The 19,913-nt window shown below is 41.7% G+C and overlaps 1 protein-coding gene across 11 annotated transcripts in view; it reads right to left on the reverse strand.

The window, feature by feature from the left end:
* Window positions 1-19,913, reverse strand: part of GEMIN8 (gem nuclear organelle associated protein 8) — a 45,708-nt gene that overhangs the window by 19,506 nt on the left and 6,289 nt on the right. For 3 of the 11 annotated variants that reach the window (NM_001042480.2, NM_001042479.2, NM_017856.3), the window contains 3 exons: window positions 17,774-17,821; window positions 16,388-16,844; window positions 3,036-5,479 (listed from right to left, as the gene is read on the reverse strand). In NM_001042480.2, the coding sequence (NP_001035945.1) occupies window positions 5,223-5,479; window positions 16,388-16,844; window positions 17,774-17,788 (729 nt within the window). In that variant the 5' untranslated portion in view covers window positions 17,789-17,821 and the 3' untranslated portion in view covers window positions 3,036-5,222. Of the gene's footprint in view, window positions 1-3,035; window positions 5,480-16,387; window positions 16,845-17,773; window positions 17,822-19,913 lie in introns of those variants that run through there. The other 8 variants (XR_950464.4, XR_001755702.2, XR_001755703.2 and 5 more) reach the window with 4 other exon arrangements.

Consider the following 19,913-nt stretch of genomic DNA (forward strand, 5'->3'; position numbering starts at 1 on the left):
AAATGCCTACATTCTGAAACATACATGATCTAAGGGTTTTGGAAAACAGGTTTTGTACCTGTAATAGCTACCTCATAGGTTTGTCATAGATAGATTGCTAAAGAAATTAGTATTTGTAAAGCAATTAGAAGAGGGTGAGGCTTATAGTAAGCTCTATTTAAGTGTTTGATAAAGTAAACATTTCCTGTAACATTTAACCCTAGAAATGAAGTGAAAGATAAACTACTTTGTTAGAATAGAGTTTGATAAACTTAGGGGCCTCCATCAAAGCTGGGTTATTACCATTGCTTTTCTGTTCTAAAGAAATTAAACATTAGACAGATAGAAAAACCCCCTTTGAGTGGTGTCTCAACCTCTCCCTACTCAGAACTAACCACTATTCTGAAGTTGGGGTGTATGTGTGTGAATCTTTTCCATGCATGTTTCTAGATTTTAGTACATATATGCGTGCATGGTGTGTATTTTTTAAAGTTATGGCTAAATGTTATCATGCTATACCTACACAACTTCCTTTTTCACCTCGACACTAGCATTTTCATACATGTAGTCTAGCTCATTTCTCTTAAGGGCTCCTGTAGTATGCCATCATTGAACACTCCACAGTTTACTTACCCACATCCTGTAGATGGGCACTTAATTTGTTTCCAATTGTTTGCTATTATTATGTGGCAGTGCCCACTCTCTTGTGCACCTCCTTGTGCCCACATGGAAGAGTGTCTCTTGGGCATATACCTGAGAGTAGGATTGCTGGGTCATATGTGCCTGTTTTAACTTTGCAAGAAAAATGCCACCGTGCCCTTCAATAGGGTGGACCAACCTATACTCCCATAGCAATGTGAGTTCTCATCTCTCTACGTCCTTGCCACACTTGGCATTTTTATTCTTTTTCTTTTGTGAGACAGCATCTCGCTCTGTTGCCCAGGCTGACACGGCCTCAGCTCACTGAAACCTCTGCCTCCTGGGTTCAAGTGATTCTCCTGCTTCAGCCTCCCAAGTAGCTGGGACTACAGGTGCATGGCACCATGTCTGGCTAATTTTTTTCCTGTATTTTTAGTAGAGACGGGGTTTCACCATATTGGCCAGGCTGGTCTCGAACTCCTGGCCTCAAGCAATCCAACCGCCTTGGCCTCCCAAAGTGCTGGGATTACAGATATGAGCCACCGTGACTGGCCAGCATTTTTATTCTTTTTAGACATTTGCCTATCTGAAGGGTATGGAATATCACTCTTATTGTAATTAGTGGTTCTCTGGTTACCAGTGAGGTTGAACACCTTTTCTGCAATAGGCTTGTAAGTGGTCTGCCTGCCCCCCATTGTGTGATATTGTGAGATAATAAAAAATATATATATTTGGTCTCTGACATAGACCCCCTGAAACTCTTGTAGATAGAGGCACTAGGAAAGTCTTTTGTTGTAATACTTGGTCTTTGACCCTGGTTCCTGACACAGAGCTCCTAAATGCTTTGGAATTTCCTGGGTGATGGGAGTCTTTTGTTCTAATGAGGTGACTCTTGGTGGGCTCTTGGACAGCTTCGGGATGGGGCCAGCTGCCAGGGGAACCAACCACATGATTAGAAGGTTGGAATTTTCAGGCCCACCCCCTAACCTCCAGGGAAGGGAGATGGGCTGATGGTTGAGTTGGTCACTAATGGCCAATGATTTAATCAATCATGACTATGTAATGAAGCCTTCATAAAAACCCCAGAAGAACTGGGTTTGGAGAGCCTCTGGATTGCTGAACATGTGGAGGTTCCTGAAGGGCTGCGTGCTCAGAGAGACAAAGAAACTCTGCACCCCTTTCCACATACCTTGCCCAATGCATCTCTTCACTGTTCATCTGTATCTTTTGTACTATCCTTTAGTAAGCAGGTAAACTCAAGAAGTGTGAGCCTGAGTTCTGTGAGCCTTCCTAGGAAATTAATTGAACCCAAAGAGGAGGTCGTGGGAACCCTAATTGATAGCTGTTCAGTCAGAAGTATACGTGACAACCTACTACTTGTGATTGGCATCTGAAGTCGGGGGCAATCCTGTGGTACTGGGCCTTTAACTTGTGGGATCTGATGCTACCTCCAGATAGATAGTGTCAGAAATGAATTATAGGACACCCAGTTGGTGGCCCCTGGAGAAATTGCTTGATGTGTAGGGAAAAGCCCCCTGACATCTGGTGTCAGAAGTGCTCTCTGTTGTATTGAGTGCGAGTAGAGAAAAAAGAAGTTTGTTTTTTCCATCAGATATTGGTGCCTCCAACACATGTTCCCCTCGGTGGCAAAGGTGGCCTTGTTAAAAGGCCATGTGATCCTATCAGTGAAGACATCCACAGATTCTTCTGTGACTGGCCAAAGAGCTAGGGACACTTTTTTTTTTTTTTTCACTCTGTCATCCAGGCTGGAGTGCAATGGCGCAATCTCGGCTCACTGCAACCTCTGCCTCCTGGGTTCAAGCAATTCTCCTGCCTCAGCCTCCCGAGTAGCTGGGACTATAGGTGTGCACCACCACACCTGGCTTATTTTTGTATTTTTAGTAAAGACAGGGCTTCACCATGTTGGCCAGGCTGGTCTCGAACTCCTGACTTCAGGCGATCCGCCCACCTTGGCCTCCTAAAGTGCTGGGATTACAGGTGTGAGCCACCGCTCCCGGCCTGAGCTAGAGACATCTAATAAGCTCTGCATGCCCATCTACTCTCACATACACAGGGACACAGGGAGAATAGCCATCAGACTGTCACCAACAGACAGAAGCAAAAGTAGGATTTAGAAGAAAAAAAGGGAGAAAAAAAATCCTGAGGGAAGAGACTATGGTTTAACTAACTGTGATGGAAGAAATTCAAATATTTGTTGGATAAACAAACAAACGAGTCACGTGTGCCTTGTATCACAAATTATCTGAGACAAGCAGGAGGAAGGATGGGCTGGCATGAGGTGTCCAGAAGCCAGCGCATCCATTCGGAGAGCTGACAGGGAAACATTTCTCCGTATTTAGAAATTTTATACTCAAGACTCCCACTGGCACTTCCCAGTGATTTTTAAAGACAGGTAATAAACGTGTCAACATTTATTGAGTATTTACCGTGTAGCCAGCACTGTTTTACAGGCACTACTCAATGTGGTCCGCACAATGACCCCACGAGAGAATTATTAACACTCATTTTAAGGATAAGGAAGGAACCAGAAGCACTGAGAGGTGAAGCCTTAGGTAACAAAGCCAGTAGGGGTGAGACCGGCATGGTGATTTCTTTAGGGGAGGGTATAAGAGTCCTTTGCGAAGAGAAACATTTCACTTTCAAATGCCTCAGCACCTGCTGCAATTCCAGGCTTTGGTTTGTACTTGTATCTCAGTCACAGTTATTTTATAGTTAGGCATATGAATTTAAAATGAAAGGGAGAAATACTAAAGATTTGAAATTTTAGTTATGTGTCACCTCAAGGGAAAGTTAATTATCATTTTTGTCGGCAACACCTACACACAAATTGTGACTCCAGTAATAAAATGAGAGCTTAGAAAAATAAGCACCCAGGGCTGATGAAAATAATGCATTTGTCTCAGGGCAGGGGCTGAATGTGAAGCCAACTGTTCTTAGAGAGAAACATGTCAATACTAAATCTTTTCACCAGCCTTTGATGGATGTGCTAATCTTCTCAGGTCAACATGGGCTCACCCTGGCAATGTACTGTAATAACTTATTTAAAAGGCAGCTGGCTTTTATAAATGACCTGCTCCATCAGCTTTTAGATTTCATTTTCAGAAATGTATTCCTTTATCAAATCAATATTTGCTGTATATAGTAAGAAATCAACTGTGCGTTTTCTGCAACAGAGGTGACTGCAGCAGTGACCAGGTTTGGGAATTATTGTTCTTTTTTTTTTTTCTTTTGAGATGGAGTCTCACTCTGTTGCCCAGGCTGGAGCTCGGCTCACTGCAAGCTCCGCCTCCTGGGTTCACGCCATTCTCCTGCCTCAGCCTCCCAAGTAGCTGGGACTACAGGTGCCCGCCACCACGCCCGGCTAATTTTTTGTATTTTTAGTAGAGATGGGGTTTCACCGTGTTAGCCAGGATGGTCTCGATCTCCTGATCTCGTGATCTGCCCACCTCAGCCTCCCAAAGTGCTGGGATTACAGGCATGAGCCACCGCGCCGGGCCGGAATTATTGTTCTTTGCTCTCAATTCTGTATGACATCTAAGCTCTGTAGACATAATGAGATAACAAGAATAAAAATGTCAGGCAGGTGATTTTCATTCCATGAGAGGTGCAGTTGGCAAACTACCATCTGTAGACCAAATCTGGCCTGCAGTCTGTTTTTGTTTTTGTTTTGAGACGGAGTCTTGCTCTTTCTCTAGGTTGGAGTGCAGTGGCGCGATCTCAGCTCACTGCAACCTCTGCCTCCTGGGTTCAAGCAATTCCCCTGCCTCAGTCTCCCACGTAGCTGGGATTACAGGCACACACCACCATGCCCGGCTCATTTTTTGTATTTTAGTAGCGACGGGTTTCATCATGTTGGCCAGGATGGTCTCCATCTCCTGACCTCGTGATCTGCCCACCTCGGCCTCCCAAAGTGCTGGGATTACAGGCATGAACCATTGCGCCCGGCCGCCTGTTTTTATAAATAAAGTTTTATTAGAACACAGCCACACCCATTTGTTTACTTACTGTCTACAGCTGCTTTCACACTACAAAGGGAGGGTTGAGTAGTCACAACACTGACCGTGTGGCTTGCAGTGCCAAAGATATTCACTCTCTGGCCCTTTATAGAACATGCATCCCTCTCCACTACAGGTAGTGGTATTTGTCTCACTACACACTTGGCTCATTTTTAGTGGGGGCTAATGGAGCTAGAGTCAGAGAGGATATCTGGTTTTTTAAAGGCATTTGTGTAGTTCAGACAGGTTAAAGACAAGAAAAGATAAAAAAGCAAAACACCAGGCAGTATCTCTAGGCAAGAACGTTAATGAATTGAACTGTTACCAACAACATAAAAAACCAGTATAGTATATGCAAAATTATTTTATGTCAGGAGAAAATTTATCATGTTGGCAACAGAACATGTCCTGCAGACCTCCAAGTGGCTGGCATAGTACATCCACCCCGTGACAGGCCCACTGGGACTGTGGTGAACATGCCTGTACCCCAGTACAAAGTCCCCTTTCCCTAAGAAATGTACAGAAGGAGAGATAAAGAGCGTGTACCCAAAAGGAAGAAGGAGAGGCTGGGTACCCTGTGCCCTGAGCTCAGAACTTCAGGGGGATGACCGGCCAGTACTTGGGCTGCTTTCGGTCACAGTGCTTGTCAAAGCTCAGCTGCACCGCGGCCTCCATGGCTTGGATCTTGGCAGCACTGTCCCCGTACAAACGCTTCATCTCGGCCTGGCGCCGCTCACCAGGCCTCTCAGTTGGGGCTTCTACCGACCGGCGGGTGTTGCAGTACAGGTCGTGGTCAGCGTTCACATAGCTGTCCAGGCGCTCTGCATCCAGCTGCTGCTGCCGCCCTGAGAACAAACACGAACGTGAACATGAACATAAACACACGTGTGTGCACTGCAGAAGGAGCCCAGTGAGTGCTGCTGCTGCTGGCCATGCCATCTGCAGCCCCCTAAGGTCCCTCATCTTTCCCTTTCCAACTGTGAAACCAGGCCCAAGTGTTCCAGATGAGATGCTTACCAGATTTTGAGGCAAGACCTGCAGATTATTATCATCATTCACCTACCAAGGGGTTATTATACACTGAGAGAAATGGCAAAGAGTTGAGTGCCTATAGTCCCACCTACTTGCGAGGCTGAGGTGGGAGGATGGCTTGAGCCCAGGGGGCAGAGATTGCAGTGTACCACTATACTCCAGCCCAGGTGACAAAGCCAGACCCGGTGTCAAAAAAAAAAGAAAAAGAAATGGTGAAGAGCCACAAGGAAACTCATCACTCCAAACTACCAAACCTCTGCAACAAGCCCTGAAAACACAGGAAAGAAATGAACCCACCTGAGGTTCTCTCTTTTCATCTGCACGGCCCACTCACCACCTGCCCAGCTAGGAATGGCTGATAGAGCTTGCTTGGTTTCAAACACTGCCCCAGGCCAGCAGGGAAACAAAAAGCTTCCTGGAAAGTCCAGTGTTGCGAGCAGTGCTTACCACCATGAATGAGGTGATGTGGGGGGAAAAAATCACTCCTTTGGAAGAGGTATTGATTTTAGGTAACCTGGAAAAGAACAAGTGCTAGCAAGCACAGTATGCAATGATGATGGATGATTGATTATCCTTCCACAGATTCGAAATGCAAATCATACCAAGCAAGGAAAAGTTAAATGAGTCAACACTTGCTGAAGGAAGAAGGGTGAGGAAAGGGCAATTCTACAAATGGAATTAAGGCCTCTGACTTCTAATCTTCCCGCTATATCAAAAAATCTGCAATAATGGGTTGGTTTTCTCACTACGGGATTTGACTTTCCACTTCATAGGTTGGCCTAGGTTAAACTGCAAGTGGTATCATTACATACTTTTAATCCTACTAATTTAAATGGATTCTTGTAAAGCAAGAAGTATCTATTCAATTTACTCTTCCCTCTGTTTTTTACTATGGCAAGTCCCAATATCATAATTTTTATTCTTATGTAAACTGCAACAACATAAAAGTATCAGTAAGACAATGCTGCATAAGGTTAAATTTAGCCAATTTCCATAGCTCTTGTAAGCGACTCTGTCAAGAGAGAAATTGACAGCAGGGAACACATATCCACGGCTACTATGGCTATCAAGAGAAACACCACGAGATAAGGAGTGAAGATGGTTGTAGGGAAATAAAAGAATCATATAAATCATTCTTCCATTGTTGGTCCTCCCTGTACTAATACATGGAACAGAACATGGTAGTGAGCTAATCAAGTGTGAATGGAAAGATATTTATAAGGCCATGCATAGTCGCTCGCATAAATCCTGCTCTTTATAAGCATCATCATGGCATTGGAGGGAAGGAGTTTTATAAACTTGGAAACATTATTAAAAATGTATGTGGCCATTGCTGTCTTGGAACATCCACAGTTTATTTTTACCTAAGGGCTTATATGAATAAGCCCAATGACTATCAAACACAATAAAAGCTGCGTAACTGCTACCTCACCCATGGAAAAAATGTATGATTAACTCATTGGGCAATGCAGAATGAAACCAAAATATTGGCCTAATATGCAAATGAATGGGGGCCACCAAGCATTTGTTTCTAATTTTTGGTCTTTCTGCCAAGTTTGAAACATCAGCATATAAGTTGTTCAGTTCTCACAAGTGTTTAAATTCTATGCCCCCTAAACTGAGTTGTGTTGGAGTGGCGTGGGAGTGGATGAGCCAAACAGTGGGTTAGAGAAAGCACTCGACAACCGCCATGACAGCTTCTTATTTCCGCAAGAGTTCTGTGTGTTCCTGGTACTCAGGTCAGGGTGAAAGCCCCGCTGGGGACTAGCTTCTCCCTGGGGGCATCTCTGTTTTTCTCCTGCCTCTGTCCTGGGATGATTGAACCTGACTTTGAAGGAAAGCTTAGCTTCGTGCTTTTAGAAGGAAGAGCGGGGGTGACCTAGGACACTGGGTCTTGGTATGGGCAGTACAGACTGGTGAGATATATTCAGTCACTAAGTTCATACAGGCCTTTCCCACTTGCCTCTTTCTAGGAACCTTGAGCAGGCAGTGGGTGGGCTGATGGCACTGCCCAGGCTTTCCAGGAAAGGTAGAATTTGGCTAAAGAATCTCTCATTCAAGGGCTACTTTTCTGAAGGCTTGGCATTTCCACATTAGCACAACACAGTCCCTCTGCCATCTATGAGCAGCCTTGTACCCATTACCAATCCTATGGCTCTCTTTTTTTTTTTTTTTTTTTTTTTTTTTGGTCTATCTGGAGGAGACGATCCCACAGGTGGGTTTGCTGAGTGCCTTGGAGTCTCTGCATCCAGAGGGCAGAGCCCACAGTCAGAGTTCCCAGACCACTGTCACATTACTCTCAAATTTATCCCAAGACTATAATCAGCTTCACTGACAGATCTGGTGACACAAGACATGTTCAACTTCCTGCATAAATCCGAGTCTTTGAGTTTAGAAGTTTGAATGAACACTGAGATCTTAGCTATCCTAAGTATTCTCTGTCGGTAGGATGTTGTGAGTTTAGTCTTTGAACTTTTGCATCTTTTTTTTTCTTTTCCTTATAATTTAAAATGTTTGTAACAATTATATATAGAGAGATGTGTTCTCTTATTGTTGACATCTGTGAATGATACACAATGTTAACACAAAGCAACCCCAGTTAATGATGCTGGTACAATTTTCCAACTTTGTACTCAGCGTGTGCCCATGGGTTACCATCACATGATTTTAGTTCTTAATAAAGTTCATACGGTGTAAGAATACAAAAATAAAAGACACAGCCCTCTGCTTTTGATTCTTATTTGTTTTTCATTCCCATTCAGGCTTCCTCATGAATTTTTTTTTTTTTTTTCGCTCTGTCACTCAGGCTGGAGTGCAGTGGTGCAATCTTGGCTCACTGCAACCTCTGCCTCCTGGGCTCAAGCGATCCTCCCACCTTGGTTTCCTGAGTAGCTGGGACTACAGGTGTGTGCCACCACGCCTGGATAATTTTTGTATTTTTTTTTTTTTTGGAGATGGGGTTTTGCCATGTTGCCCAGGCTGGTCTTGAACTCCTGAACTCAAGCGATCCACCTGCCTTGGCCTACCAAAGTGCTGGAATTACAGGCGTAAAGCCACCGTGCCTGGCCCCTCATGAAAATTTAAGACCCAACCCTTATCCCCTCCTTGCCTCTCAAGAGATTTGGAGGTTTAATGGTTTCCTGCATAGTGAACAGTGGCCCTAAAACACTGAACTAAAGGGCAAGAAGCCTGTCACCTGCGACCTACCCTGTGGGGGTCATTTATGGTGGAAGGGCACTGTCACCTTTACTCACAGCTGTACCCCCAGACCTGAGAGGACACAATGCCTGACACAAAGCAGATGCTCAGGAAGTGACTGTCAAATGAATGCTCAAAGGCCATGCATGATTTTTTTGTAAACAGCTCTTTTCCTTCCAGATGCTGTTAAAGAACAATAATGACAACTCGGGGATTGAGAAACAGATGCTCAAATCTCACTAGGTGCTGGGCAGAACTCCCTTCCCTGTGGGTTCCTCAGAGCCTCCCAGGCAGAGGGGCTATGGGGGGGGGCACCAATGAGTTGGGGTCGGACCCTGTTCTCTTACATTCGAATTGCTTTGCCTCTACTTACTCACACAATTTTTTAAAAAGTCCTAAGGCTAGGCTACAAGTTGAAAACCAGTCAGTTTAAAACCAAATAACTGCAGACAGGCTGTGCACTGATGGTCACAGCCAGCATGTGAAAGTACTTTAGCGTGTACTGACTTAGGGGACCAAGTAAACCTCAGAATGGAGTATCAGAGTTTGAAGGCATCCACTCATTCTGTTTTCTATTTATTGCTTCCTTCCTTCCTTCCAACGAAAACGGATTCTCAATCACTGGCAGTTTTCCTTGCTGTCAAAACAAGGTGAGCGCTCAGCCAGCCAGATGGAAAATCATCTGACCAAAGCAGACCAGTACGGACATCACACTTCAGATGCCAATGAACAGTTGCCTTGTCATGGAGGGTTTGGTCATTTTTATTGGAAACAGCTGTAGGACTCAATGTTGCCATACACTTTTATAGGGTATTTTGGCAAGATAATTTGTTTTAATATGAATCAGAAATCTTTTTTGATTCTATTCCAGCTTCAAAATAGGATTGTAGTGGGTTGAATAGTGTCACTTCAAATCCATGTCCACCTGGAACCACAGAAGGTGACCTTATTTGGAAATAGGGCTTTGTAGATGTAATTAAAGGATCAAGATGAGATCATACTGGATTAGGGTGGACCCTAACTCCAATGACAAAGTCCTTGTATGAGACAGAAAAGGACACACAGACACAGGGGAAAGGCCACATGAAGATGGAGGCAGAGATGGAATGATGCTGCCACAAGCCAAGGAACACCAGGAAACACCAGAAGTTGGAAGAGGTGAGGCCCTACAGCCTTCAGAGGGCGTGTGGTCCTGTTGACCGCTTGATTTGAGAACTGTGAGAGAATAAATCTGTTTTTTTTTTTTTTTTAATCCACCCAGGTTGTGTAATTTGTTACAGCAGCCCTGGGAGGCTAATACAAGGGTTAATATGCATATAGGTTAAAACAAGAACAATAGGCATGTATTATTAAGGAAAAGCTTTACTGGATTCCATCTGGGTTCAGGATACATAATCCTGGTATTTTTCACATCAATCTATTTGTCTACATGATGTGACCAATGTCACATCACGTAATAGTCCATAAAGGAAAAAAAAAATCATGGAAAGTTACCAGGACTTCAGAGAATCTTATATAGCAGGAAAACTTTCATCCAAGATTATTCCACACATAGAGCCCAAAGGCAGAACATGTTAGAGGATAAAGCATGGAGGCAGCAAGTGGCAAAGAATGTTTTTTCCCCTCACTTTCCTAGGACTAGTACATCTTTCTGATTATATTTTCTGCTATTTTGCCAAAATGAATAATTGTAGCACAACCGAGGGAAAGCACAAACTTGATGTATGCCATGAATGCCTCATTTCTGGCTTGTCAGCAACCACCCAGAACACAGGTACATGCCAGCAGAACTGGAGCCATTTCAGACTGGTCTTCTCTCTTCGTCGCACATCCCTTGCCCCATGACAAATGTAATCCTGAAGTTACTGGACAACCGCCATTTTTACTTTTACAACAGAAGTGCATTTTCATGTTCCTTTCCACTTTTCTACAGCCATTAACACGTATCATCTCACTGATCGGTTTTGTGCACCTGTGAATATCTGCACCAGATGAAACACACACGCATGTCAGGATTGTGCTCAATCACTGCAATTTCATCCTTCAACCTCATTGACTAAAGCAAGACAGCTCACTAAATACTGGGCCATAAACTTCACCGGGTTCTCTCTAGGTTTGACTGACTAAAGGCTCACTATGAAAACTACAGTCTCAGCCTTCCCACTCAGATGGACACAGTGTAATGGAGCAGATGTCTCCCCTCAAACGTATGAAAACCACATCTGGGCATATGAAAACCACATCTGGGCTCTCTGGTAAGAACAGCACTTTGAGTGTCTAAGCCGGGAGTGAACTAAGTCCTTTTTTCTCTCATTCCAAATTGACCCTATCCCTCAAATTGGCCTAGTGCATACCTTACTTCTTGACAGCTGCCCCGCGGTGCTCCTCCTTTGACTGCCTGGGTCACTGGCTCTACCCCTCATGTGCATGTATAACCATGAACCACACCATAGACACTCTTCTTCTATGTGTCACTTTACATTTCATTTTGTCTCCTCTTCCCAATGGGGTTTAAGCTTTTAGAATATGTCCCTGTTTTGAGCCAACACCCTCAAAACATAGGTCATAAATACCTGATTGGCTCAAACCCGAGAAAACAGTGGTGGTGTTTGTTTCAGAGGGCCTTACTCTCTTTTGAGGGTGACTTCCACTCATTTTCCCTCTAAGTATTAGCAATATAACCTTGCAGTCTCGACCAGTGGTCACTTATGACTACAAAATGGTATTTTTCTTAACCTAATAATAAACATTTTTCCTAAGAAATAATTGAAAACACAGCTGACCTTTAAAACTTCATAACTGTAAACTTTCTCATAAGTTATTTTCCATTGAAGCTTTAAGTAACGGAAATATCTTGTTAGGAAATGATGACAGACATAATCAAAAGCATGCATGTTCCCACTGTACAAAAGGAGTTCTTATCCTAGTCAAGCTTTTGGTGTTTTTTATCCTTGAAATATGTTAAAGTAGAGACTATCTGGAATCTGAGTAGCAATCACAAAAAAGAACATACTGTCCAATCTGAAGGCCTTTATCCTAAGAAAATATTAAACAAGACTCAGGCGATGATGAATTGCATAACTTGTATGTTCCTGTGGAAGTGAATAATACTGAAAAGTTAAATCTTTCAAATTTAGTGACATTTCCTCTTGCTAGTAACATTTTCTAAAATCCTGTGTTCTTCAAAGCATTCATGTTCAAAGCTGAAAATGTCCTTATTGAATAAGTAGCTTCTAGTGGTTTTGAGAGCAAAATGAAACAAAAAACTTGAACCAATTATTCATACTACCCAGGTCCCTTATCTCTTTATTAAAGCTTTTTCCAACAGTGTATGTAACTAACCCTCCATGAAAATTTCTGGTGAAGGTAATGAATTGGAAAGCGCCATGGGCACTCAGATTACTTACATATGAATTCCATCATTCATTACCGCTTGAAGAACAGTTGTTCATCCTGTACTCACCAAAAGTGCTGCTGAAAAAAATAATGCTAGTGATCTATTGCCCATTATTTTCTTACTGGTGCAAGATCGGGCCCTGGCAGCTGCTTCTAATATAGACGAAGTCTTTAGATTCCAGTCTGACACCACAGTCTGTTCTCACCCTCACCAGACAATTCTCACATCTCCCTGGGACCAGCTAATGCATTCAGGGAAGGCTGTAGGAGCATGACACAGACGCTAAGAAAAGTAGTTTTGAATCATGCTGTAACTACACATTTTAAAAATACAAAGAATTGAAAGCTTGTTTAGGGACATTATTAGTAATATTGAAGTGGGTTAATTTTCCCAGTCCATGTACTTTACTGCATTAAATTTTATCAAGCAAGAATATCCTTGAAACAGAACTAAAAACTGTGTTAATTGCTAAATTTGATAGACACCAAAACTTTCATTCTTTCATGTCTTTAATATTCTAAATCAGTTTAAAAGTTTGAAAGGTGCCACCCAGAGCAGAAATATGACCTTTCTGAAGTCACAGAACATCTTATTAAAAATATGCAGAATCTTAGCTGGGCGCGGTAGCTCATGCCTATAATCCAGCACTTTGGGAGGCCGAGGCAGGTGGATCACCTGAGGTCAGGAGTTCAAGACCACTCTGGACAACATGGTGAAACACCATCTCTACTACTAATAAAAAAATTAGCTGGGTGTGGTGGTTGGCGCCTGAAATCCCAGCTACTTGGGAGGCCGAGGCAGGAGAATCACTTGAACCCGGGAGGCATAGGTTGTAGTGAGCTGAGATGGCGCCACTGTACTCTAGCCTGGGTGACAGAGTAAGAATCTGTCTCAAAAAAAAAAAAAAAAAAAAAAATATATATATATATATATATATATATGTACAGAATCTCAATCAAGCACTAATCAAGGCAAACGGTATCAGAGAAAAACCAATTTATGGTTAATAATCCATGTTAAAGGATGGGTTACTAGCAACTAACTGTAACAATAACATTTATTGGGCACCAACTTGGTACCAAGCACCATTCTATAACTTTTCTCATATTATCTCATGGATTCTTCACAATTACTACCCATTAGGGATTCTTCATAATTACTACCCACTAATTAGGATCCTATTTCATAGGTGAGGCAACTGAGGCAAAGAATGGTGAAGGCAGGGGGCTTACAGGAGGACGAGAACCTCTAATCAGCGAGTGGTAGAGTGAGGCTGGACCTCTGTGATTCAAGCAGTTCTGCCACAGCTGCCTCCATACACTGTTGCCAGCAATAATATGAATACTGGAAAATGAGGTTCAAGATGGAAGTTGCAAGGGTTTTCATAAAATTCCCTTTTATGATGGTTTGCTATCTAGATCACAGTAAAACAAATAAGTAATACAGTTTTTTCAGACAGATGACAAGAACTGTGGGTTTACTTTATGTCCCAGTCACAGATTGCATTTGGGGACAAAGAAAATTCTCCCAGGGTGATTGTACTCCTTTCCTAGGGCTGCCATAACAAAGTACCATATACTGGGTGGTTTAAAACAACAGAAATGTATTGTCTCATGGCTCTGGAGGTCAGAAGTCTGCAATCGAGGTGTTGGCAGGGCCATAAACCCTCTAAAGGTGCTAGGGAAGGATCTGTTCCAGGCCTCTCCCACCTTCTGGATGTTCCTTGGATTGTGGCGACATAATGTCAATCTTCACATGGTGTTTTCACTGCATGTGTGTCTGTCTCTGTGTCCGGATTTTGCCCTTTTTATAAGGACCTGAGTCACATAGGATTAGGATCCCTGTAATGACCTCACTTAACCTCAATTACCTCTGGAAAGACCCTGTCTTTAAATAAGGTCACATTCTGAGGAACTGGGGGTTAGGATTCCACTGTATCTTTCTTGGGGAGATACAATTCAACCCAGATGATGAAAGTGCAATTTGGAGCCGTAAAGTAACTAGACAGATTTGGAAATAATATGAAACACAGAGATGAAGCTTATCAAGTTTATAATGCACACAAGGCCTAGCTCATTCTGTAAAATGTCCCACAGAATCACTGCAAGTGTAGCACTCTATGGGTAAGATTTGCCAACCTCTGATTTAAGGCTTCTAATTCACACTGAAAGACTTCATTTATTCACTCAAAATAATATTAAGTGGCAAGTATGACTTAGCAGGTAATTTTCATGATTTTGTTTACCTACCTAGAGTTCTACCTAACAATGGCAAGAGGGAGGAATAGGGATGGTTGTTAACAATATCTGTAACTGAACCGTTCACATTTTTTCTTTGGTGCAAGGACACATTTCATTGTTTTATCTTTATTTTATTCATATCCACTTTTTATTGACTAACTCAAGTTTATTTTAAACCAGCAGATAATTCAAAGTCACCTTTGAGATGACTGGGATTTGCTTCCATCCATAATTACAATTTCCATCATAAAAGTATCAACCTCTAGTGGGCAAAACATGTTATTCTACTTTCTGGTAAGGACAAGAGTAATAAACTCGATCTCCATCCCATTTTCTCTGTCAAAAGCTGTAACAAACAGCATTCCAACCCAAACATGGACATGCTCCAATGCTTCTCATTTGTTGTATATATTAGACTAATGGTTGTTTCGTATCTATATTTTTAAAAAGGGTAAAATTTATTTCTGGAGATCAAGCAAAAGTATTCTGTGTGTAATAGAAAGTACTGTCTTAAAAGTATTTGTTTGGATATACTTCTTTCTTTCTTTTCTTTTTCTTTTCTTTCTTTTCTTTTCTTTTTTTTTTTTTTTTTGAGCCAGGGTCTCGCTCTGTCACCCAGGCTGGAGTACAGTGGTGTGATCGTGGCTCACTGCAGCCTCAAACTCCTGGGCTCAAGCCATCCTCCCGAGTTGCTGGGACTACAGGTGTGAGCCACCACACCTGGCTGGATATACTTTCTAATATGCTTAAAGAAGTACACAGTTTAAACAAAAGAAAGGAAGTCAAAAAAATCTGAACAAGTAGTTTAGTGAAGAATCACGGACGAAGATACTAAAGGATATAATATTTTATACAAAGCCCAGTGCTCAGTTCTTGGCATCCAGTGGGGATCAATAAAAGCTAATTCATCATTAGGAAAATGCTGACAATGACAGACAGGAATGAAACTCCCATTCCCAGGTTTCTACGCTTCTGTGTCATTGGAAAATTGTAGGTAAAATGTCATACAATTAGGCCTCACTTAAAACAAAATTGAGAATGAATACTGGTTATAATAGGGAAAGAAGCATTTGTATCTCAGTTAGAGGTACTTAGAAATGGTCTGGTGAATTTTAATAGGAGAGCACAAAAGCTGTTCTAGTTCTTTCTAGTAAGGTGGTAAGAAATTTAAAAAGAAAATTCCTGTTTTTGACTGAAGATATAAGACCTTTATCATAATTCTCTGACCCCATGGACAGGGCCTCAATGCAGAACCAACAGGAAAGTTGTAAGTGCCAGGCATTTCGTTACTCTGTTTAGGTTCATGCTATTTAAGATTTGGGACCTCTAGCACCAAGGACATCTCCAAGATGTGTCCCAGAGGAATGGCAAAAGTATTTTAGGAACCTAGCAGTCTCAGGGACAAGTCCTAGTATACAGAAAGCAGTACAGGAAGTAGAGGTAGGCAGATTTGGTTTGGATCCTAACAGCAAATTACTAGTTGTGTACCACGGAACAAGTCAATTAACCTTTTTAAGGTTCACTTTCCTCATATATAAAATGAGTTTAATACTCTGAGGGACTGCTGTGTAGATCAGAGCACGCACACACACAAGCATGCATGCATACACACTCCATTTGGTAGAGTGTCTAATGGTTAATAAATAGTAGAACTACTATTAGGATAAGCTTTGTTCTGGAACAAAAAAATGTCTTATACTAAAACAACTCCAGAAACTAACATAAGCAAGGTACAGCATCCCCATAGCTTTTCCAGGCTTAGGACTGGATTTGGAATATTACCCTAGCCAATGAAGAATTATAAAATTACTTTATATATTAGAGAAAAAAAATGTAAAAGGCAGGGCAAGGAAAGGAAGCATGAAGAGACAGAGGCCTGAACTTACGTCGTTCTTCTCTATGCCTCTCGGTCTCTGCAAAGTACTGGCGGAGCTCTTCAGTGATTTCCATATTGCTCAGGTCACATTCTACCTCTGCATCTGACTCAGTCTCCATCTCTTCCTCTTTGGACAAAGCTTGGTCTTCTTTTGTGGATGCCTGGATCCTACTGCTGTAACGTGGATGCTGCCCAGATCTTCTGAAATGTGAAGAACTGCAGGGGTAGTCCTGCCAGGCCACATGATGGTCATAGAAGGACTGAGGATACGCAGCCTCATTATCGTAAGAGCTTTGGGGAAGAAGCGCAGAAGGTAAGTACCATGGAAGATTGAAACAGGATTCCACGGCCTTCCTGTAGGCATTGTGATGGCTTTGCATCCAAGCCATTGCTTGATGATAATGTTGCCAGTATCTTGCATATACCGGATGAGAATACCAAGGCCTGGTAGCTTTCGATGTTGATGCCTACAAAATGAAAGGAGGTGGAGGGTGGACACCAAAGTGTTTATTATCCTCAAGAGAAATCTTCAAATGTTTAATCTGCTACCCAACAGGTATTTACTTAGTATTTGCTAAATACCTACCTACATGAGGAGGCTACTGGGCCCAAAATATTGTGTGAGATAGGTCCAGGCCCACAGTGGACACCAAGTGTATGCACACTTGCTAAGTCCATGTACATAAGGTATGCACAAGCCAGCCAATTAAAGCTATGGAGCATTATAATGTGGGGATGAAGGCTAGTGATCGTTTCTAGATGAGACGCAGGGAGAGAGAAGACTGGATGTTTATCACCTTAGCCCTCTCTACCCACTGTAATTAAATGACTACTGCCAACTGAGCAACGGCCTGCTAAGAACCACACTAGACTGACAAGCATGACAGACTTTAGTTTTTCCCTTTCTGCCCCCTAAACTAACTTGCTGGCCTGAGCCACCCCTAAATGCCTGGGGTAAGAGATGTCTAGGAATGCACCCAATAGTGCTTTTACTTTTGTATTTCTTAGGTCTTCTCCATCGTGCAATGAGAATACCAAACTTTAAAGACTAAAATTTACCAGCAAACTATCGCAAGGACAAAAAACCAAACTCCGCATGTTCTCACTCACAGGTGGGAATTGAACAATGAGAACACATGGACACAGGAAGGGGAACATCACACACCAGGGACTGTTGTGGGGTGGGGGGAGGGGGGAGGGATAGCATTAGGAGATATACCTAATGTTAAATGACGAGTTAATGGGTGCAGCACACCAACATGGCACATGTATACATATGTAACTAACCTGCCCGTTGTGCGCATGTACCCTAAAACTTAAAGTATAAAAAAAAAGACTAAAGTTTACCTTTTTTACTTACGAGCTCAAAAAAAAAATAAAAAAATAAAAATCTTACCTTTACCGCTGCCATCTCTGATTGTGAAAGTCCAAATGGGTGCTGAAACTAGGAAAGAAGAATCACAGTGCAAACGTCTGATCAGTATGGCTGTGTGATATTTGTGGCTATTCTATGGTTTGTGAGGCAGCTCCCAAGGAACTGCCTCTTCCCAGGACCATGCCTGATTTCATGCAACCTATCTATATGACGTTGGTTCCTGGGCTATAACTTTGTGGTCTGAAAAGGAGGGATCCACTTAGGTTTGATTAAGTGGGTCAAAAGATCCTGCATGGTTCAATTACTTATTTCCCTATAGGAAGTAAAGTCTATGAAAATGACCATATAAATATTTAGTAGTTAATGTGTGTGTATATATATATATATATATATATATATATAGTATATATATACTGATATATATACTGAGGCTGGAGAGATGTCTTATTCTCCAAGTCCCAGATAATGTATATGTATAATGTATAATGTATACACACATATATATGTATATGTATGTATACACATATATATGTGTGTATATATAATGTATATATACACATATATGTATGTATACACATGTATATATACACATGTATATATAATGTGTATATATATGTGTGTGTGTGTATATATATATACACACACACACAATATACAAAACATGAACTAAAAATTTATAGTTATTACTTTATTTACTAATCCTTAACTCATGCTAATGCTTACTTAAATTAACCCTGGGTCTTCCTGAGGCTTGAGGGGAACACATCTTTCCAAATGACCAGAAACCTCTGTTGGGTCTTGCCTTAGGTTTGGGACTTGGAGAATAAGACATCTCTCCAGCCTCAGTTGTGCCCTGGGCTTTAAGTTCCCCAAATGGGCTTTGTTTTCATTTTGATTGCAATATGCATTTCTCAGCCAGCATGTGACATCACACTCTCCTTGCCTAACCACCCTGTCTCTTCACAGGAGAAAAAAACACTCCATGGAGTCTCTACTGAGGCACCAGATAGACTGCCTCTGGCAAATAGCATTGCTCTGCTGAGATTTACTCCTTTTCTCTCTACCCACCTGTTGTGATTTGCTGATTCGATGCATGAAATACCCAAAAGTAATGGCTAATCTGCAGCTGTAGCTTTTTCAATCTATTTAAAATAGACTTTTTTTTTTTCTATTCAGAGGTTCAGAGCTACACCAGAATGTACTTTTAAAAAGTTAAACAAAAATATCCAAAAATGCATGATAATTTAAGTTTCTGTGAGACAAAACCACTAACACAATGTAATGCTGAGCAAACAACTACTTAGGTTTTGAAACTTTGGAAATCAGATACCAAAGCAGTCTTATTTTTCCTTTTCACTTAACTATAGGGTAGAATTAAAACATTCCCCAACCCTTAAGAAACAAACTTTACTTGTTTTATAATCTCTATCAGATGTTTTGCTATGGTTATATTAAGAACTGAGATGCTAAATCAACCACTTCTATATTTTAAGATTTAGCTGAAAGAGAATCATTCACATTCTTTTTGAATATAATAAACTTTCAAATAGGGTATTTCTAAGAGGGCTGACATAACCTTCTGTAAATTTATCTTAAACATAGCCCATAGTTCCTGTTCCTTGTCTTAAATTCAATACTATGCATACATGCAACGAATATAAACTGAAAAAGTTAACAAATGCAGTGTAAATTAAGTTCACATTAATCTATAATTTTAATGTTTTAAAGGTTTAAAACATGAACAAGTACCTGAAAACCTAGCTAACTGCTATGTGCTTTCCGGGCCACTGAAGAAATATAAAAGTTAATACTTAGGTGGCTTACCACTCAGAGAAATAAAACATACTTGAAATTATGTAGAAATTAGTATGTACTTAAGAGCAAAACTGTAAGGTGCAGCCTTTAAGTGGCTAATTCACTAGAACCAGGTTTTATATTCCTTTTTTTTTTTTTTTGAGACGAAGTCTCACACTGTCACCCAGGCTGGAGTGCAATGGCATGATCTCTGCTCCCTGCAACCTCCGCCTCCCAGGTTCAAGCGATTCTCCTGCCTCAGCCTCCCGAGTAGCTGGGATTACAGGCGCGTGGCACCATGCCTGGCTAATTTTTGTATTTTTAGTAGAGATGGGGTTTCACTATGTTGGCCAGGCTGGTCGAAACT

Source organism: Homo sapiens, chromosome X, assembly GCF_000001405.40.
Source record: "Homo sapiens chromosome X, GRCh38.p14 Primary Assembly".
Taxonomy (NCBI): Eukaryota; Metazoa; Chordata; class Mammalia; order Primates; family Hominidae; genus Homo; species Homo sapiens.